Source organism: Homo sapiens, chromosome 7, assembly GCF_000001405.40.
Source record: "Homo sapiens chromosome 7, GRCh38.p14 Primary Assembly".
NCBI lineage: Eukaryota > Metazoa > Chordata > Mammalia > Primates > Hominidae > Homo > Homo sapiens.
The window spans coordinates 76,924,480-76,930,479 of NC_000007.14; positions in this window are offsets into that span (position 1 = coordinate 76,924,480).

The following is a 6,000-nucleotide window of genomic DNA, read 5'->3' on the forward strand; positions in this document are numbered from 1 at the left end:
AAATTAAATGGCTTTTTTTTCCAAGGTCACAAGCTAGTCTTAGCTTGAGCCAGTATGAAATGCCACGTCTCTGAACTCCTAGCCTGGTGCTCATTTTACTGGAGCCAAGAAGATACCTTCATTGCTGGGCAAAGGAATGAACAATGATTGAGTACCTAACACGTTTCTAGGCACTTTGTTAACTGGTTGTGGTAGACAATGTGTGTTGCTGACCCAAGCACCATTTCTTCTTCCTTTCTTCCTTACAGAATCCCAAATTTTTAAAGTAAGCATCCCATCAGTAGCTCTAGAGTCAGATTCTGTCTAGTCTAAGTCATTTCATGCTTAGCAGGTCCCATTACAACAGCCACTGGTCCAGGGGTGGCCACGTAATTTAATTTGGTTCAATCGAATTGAAGGAAAAGAAATGAGCCATGCCTGGAGGACATGATTCTCTTCCCACCTTCCCCTTTCCTCTGCTAGTTATAAACAGGGCGATCTACAGCCCAATGGCTGCCTGTAGCCATCTTGTGGCCATAAAGAGATTCATCTTTAGGATGAAATCACTGCTGAAGATAGTAATGTCTATATTTATATTAAGGGTCAGTAAACTCTGCAAAGAATCATATAGTAAATATTTTAGCATTGCCAATCTGATGGTCCTTGGTTCCTGCAGCAACTATTCGACTCAGACATTATAGTGCAAAAGTCACCAGAATGACATGGCTATGGTTCAGTAATATCTTGTTTTCAAAAAAAAAAGTCATCGGGCTGTTTAAATCATTGAACCTTTTTGACATCATTGAGCCACATATTTCATCATTCCTTGAGCTTATCCTGCACATTAACTCCCAATATTTGAGATGATCAATTTCCTTATGATTTAAACTGGCTTTAGTAAGATAATTTTTAAATGTTATTACTAAAACCAAATCAATATAATTAATTCAGCATTTATATACATTATTACTCATAATATTCACAAAACTCCCATAAAGCTGATATTAGTAGACTCATTCTTAAGATAAGAAAATAGAACCAAAGTTTCAGAGTCTTTGAAAATACTGGTTCAAAAACCGGCATTTGAACCTATATGTCTAATCTTCTACTCTATGATGACCCAACTCCCAACTATCTATTCCTCAGCACTTAAAAGTGGAAGAACAGTAGCTGCTTCAGTAAAGTTCCAAACCCACCACCAGCTTATCAAACAGAAAATGATTTCATGCAGGGAAGTGTGCACTTAGAAAGTCTTTTGAAGGGCTGGAGGAATGGATGTCAGTGGACTGCCCCTGAATTTTTAGTTTCTAGGTCATACCATTATATGTGAAATCCAAAAGTCAGGCAGTGGCTACTGCTATCAGTTCCTACCACTGTAGCCACCATAGCCTCCTCACACCAATGGCTCCCCAGAATGTCATGTTGAACCACTATAAACTTCATAACTGTCAAATTTTACCCGTAGCTACAGCTGCATAAAAATGGCCTCTGCCTCACTTCTGATTTCCAAATCTCTTACAAGTGCATGTAAATGACTCTAGCTGCAAAGGAGTTTGGGAAGTATACTTTTTAACCTCTCCAATAGGAGGATCAAATGGAGATTGGTAAGACTTCTCTTCAGAAGATTGACTAAGGCTTCTCCCTAGAATGTCTGGCATGTGTATCTCCCATACCTGACAAAGAATGAGGGCTTCAAGACAGCTAAAAAATTTTGAACAAGCTTTAAAGGACTATTTTCTCATCCCCAGTCCCATCAGCTGAGCCAGAATAATGACTTCATAGTAATTTTTCCCTGTACCTTTGAGGGAAAGTAATGCATTCATTATTGGAATAAAAGTGGTTCATGTGTATAAATCTTGCCCTTGGCAAAATAAATTATCAAAGCTCATGCCAATGGGAGAGATGGCAGGTCCATGATGCTAAGAGCCAAGTTCCATAAAGTGATAGGGAAGCAGCTTTCTTTTATCCAAAAGAATTTATGTTTTATGGCTCAGTGTTGGTGAGGTATTGATCTTCCAAATGAGACACTGTGGCCACTGTAAATAAATTCAATAGATGTGTAGTTGGCCTAAGAATATAACCTCAGTTATTTAAAACATGTGGCACTTGATGCAGATCACCTTCCAGTGTCCTGTGTGGAAGAATGGAGCTTCCACCCAGTACAAAGAGTACTCTGGGACTCCATGCCTAAGCTCCTTAATTAGCATAGTACATGTTTGGGGGTAAATAACTCCACCTCTCTCAATCTTAATTTCCACAGCCCTGAAATTTGGACATGATAGTATGGGAGGATTCATGAGAAAATGTGTGTGGAATGATTTGAACTTCTTGAAGAATACATACTCAGGAATACTGCTATTTGTGATGAGATAGTGTCAGATGCATAAATTTGGGTTCTTTGAATTACTGGCATACAGGAAAATAGCAAATCTAGGTCAACAGAGACCTTTTTCTCAGACTGCCTTTACTATGAATAAAACACAAAGGAACTTTTCTAACTTTCTCAGAAAAGTGTCAACTTCTATAATTATTTCAATAAATAATCTTCCTCCAGGAGGATATAATTTTAAGGTGTGTGCAGTGTCCTTTTAAAGACAGGTTTGTAGGTCTCACTTTCTTTTATTTCCAAGTTATCCCCTGGCAACAAGGGCTGTTTATGTGGAGTATTAAACAAGCTTCAGGACTGTGCACAGAACTCACTCCTATTATATCTTATTTTAATCTGATATTACCAAACTTCCCATGAACTAAAAAAAAAAAAACCCATAAATTTTAAGTCCAGTGAGATTTCTGTTTTCTCTGGAAATTAGAGAGCTGAACTGTGTTTTGTGTGAGATCATCCAACAGTTTTTTTAAAAAATCTTACTTCAGAATCACATTGAAATCATTATGTCTTCTGGAAACCAGCTGATAGCCAAAACATTTATTTAAATTGTTTATAAAATGGGTGGGTGGTATTTCATAATAGTTATTGGTTTACTATGCATGACCTGTTGATCTACCTGTTGAAACCATTATTTTAAAATATATTTCCCCCAAAAATGCTACTTCTGTATATTTGTTTTTATCAAATATAAATTTACCTAGCTCTTTTAAGACACAGATCTCACCCACTGAATTATGACTAACATGAATTTTGGAAATTGTCCTATTTTGATATGTCAGGAGAGAACGTTTTACTAGCAGGTTTCATTAGCCAAGGTGGACCAGTGGGTATTTTCTGACATTGCAAAAGCAGCTTCAAAGTGCCACTTTCCTTTCCTTTCCAGGATGGGTCAAATAAAACAACTCTACTCCATTCTGTAAGAGATTCAGGCACAGAAAGGAGAAGATACTGGGCTGCTGACACATTTTCTATTCATAAATGCTTCTGTTTATAGTAGAAAATATGACATTCACCATGAGCTGACCAGCCATCAGTTCTGACATTTATCAGCGTCACTTTAGAAACCCATGTGGGAAGGCAGAAAAGCAGAAGGGAACAGAAACTCACATGCCACTTGTAGCAGAATGCTTGTGCCATCCTGACTCCCCCTCTCTGAAAGCCTGACTGTGCACCATCCTCCTTGATAACAACTACCAACCACTGAGCAAGCCTGCGGTAGGTTATGTAGGTTCTAGGGGAAGGGGATACAAAGCTATGTTGGACACTTGGAAATGCTTAGAATCCAGTCGGGGAGCCAGCACAGGAAACAGAAACATCTGAATGCATAGCCAGCTACTGGCCCTCTACATGTATAGCCAGCTAATAATGTGTGTGTGTGTGCATGCACACACACATGACTAGAAGAGGCATTGTGCCTGGCAGTGAAATGACAGAGGAAAGGCATTTATTGTATGAGGGAAATAAAAGTAGGGAAGTGGTATCTTAAGAGCAAAACATACAGTCTATTCCTTCCACTCCAAATAATTGAATGCTTCTGAATGTGCATTCCAAATTTTGAGATTAAATGAATAAGGCCAACCTGCTGCTGATGGCCACAGTCAGAAAGGAGGGAAGAGACCACCCAACCCAGGACAGGAAGTGGAGCAGACTTCATCTGGAACTTGGGAATGCCTGCCTCCATGAAAAAAAGTGTAAGTGAGATTTCCCCCTTTTTGATCCATCTTCAACCACTTGATAAATTTTCACAAAATCAGTAATTTCCCAATGTGGTTGTGATGGAGCAGGGTAGCTTCCTATTTGCAAGCATTGGGTTAAGCATCTATGTTTTAAAAGAATTAAACATATTAATATAATACTGTCCCAATAGTGCTTACAAAACGTGTGTGGGAGACACACTGCTGAGTTTCAGGAAATAAACATCCCTTAACACAACACATTGTAATCAAAGAAGCATATTCACAAAACGTTAAAACTTTTTGCCAACTTCATGCCAGCAAGCCCAGAGGGAGAGAACACGTATGCTCTTTTTCAATAGAGTATCACATTATAGACCCATTCAATAAGGTCTGTATGAGTTCATTTGTTTCCAGATAAAGATTTCTGTGTGTGGGGAGACTTAACAACAACCACAAAAAAAGGCTTCGTGGAGAAGGGAACAAATTAGTTGGTGTTTTAAAAGACAGAAGTATGTAGACAGTGAAAGAGGAATTTGCAGGAAATGTGGTGGGAAGGGTACCAGTAAATCTTAAACTGAGGGAAGAGCTCAGGCGAAACCTCCAGTGATCTTCACAATTCTCAGGAGAATGCTTATACATGATTTGCACACAAAATATTGAATTTGAAAAAATCTTATATTGAATTCCCAAGCCACTTGTAGAATGCAATGTGGCACACTAATGTGGTAGAAGGGACATAAAACAAACAAACAAACTCCCTGCACAAATACCCATGGGAAAGGAAGAACAGCCTCACAGAACTTCAAAAAGAGAAAACAAAGAAAAAAAATCTCATTTTCCAATGTATGCAAACATTTATTTTCTGAGCAAAGACAGGATTACAAGTAGGCAGAATATAAGATTTGAAAAGCAAAAGGAAAGGTTACATCTCCCCACCACCTACCACCCACAAACCAGTTCATCCACAGGCAAGCTGATACTGAGACTCTACAACTACATATTTATACTTTTGACTTAAATGTGGCCTTCTCTTGAACAGCAAATAATCCCAAGATTTACAAATTAAGCCACATGAGGCATTTACACATTAAAGAAATGAATTTTTAAGTCTTTCTTAAGACAGAGATTTTTGGGTTTGGAAGACAGAGAAAGAATGAGAGTACTTAGGGGAAGATGGCATGGGTTAGGGGTGACATTTAGGATGAAGTGAAGAGACAAGTTATAGTAGCTTAATTCATAGATTAAAAGGAAGACCTTTATAGGAATCTGGTTGTATAGCTAGGAGCCAAACAGCCCCTTCCTGATCAAAAATGTTTTCATCTAGTCTTTTACAATAGAAATTTGTTTATCTTGTTTTAAAGTATTCTTTATGTCATGCATGTAAATACCAATAAGGTATTTAAATATTCCCATATTGACAAGTATCGCTTTGCTTCTAATCTTTTTTTTTTTTTTTTTTTTTTTTGAGATAGGGTCTCACTATATTGCCCAGGCTGGTCTCGAACTTCTGGGCTCAAGCTATCCTCCCACTCCACTTCACCATCCTGAGTAGCTAGGATTATAGGCACAAGCCACCTCACCTGGATTTGCTTCCAATCATTTTCTATAAGCAAAATGTTACATGAAAATACTTGTATTTATATCTTTGTAATTTTGTGCAAGAATTTCTAAAAGAAAAAATCTTAGAAATCCTAGAAAAATCCCAAGTCAAAAGGCACTTGTATATATAATTTTGAAAGGTCTTGTCATATTGCTCTCCATAGAAGATACACCAATGCATCTTCCCACCTGCAATGTATAGAACACCTGTGTCCCCATATTCTTTTTTCTTTTTTTTTTTGAGACGAAGTCTTGTTCTTGTCACCCAGGCTAGAGTGCAGTGGCACGATCTTGGCTCACTACAACCTCCACCTCCCAGGCAGAGAATCAAGAGAATCAAGTGATTGTCCTGCCTCAGCC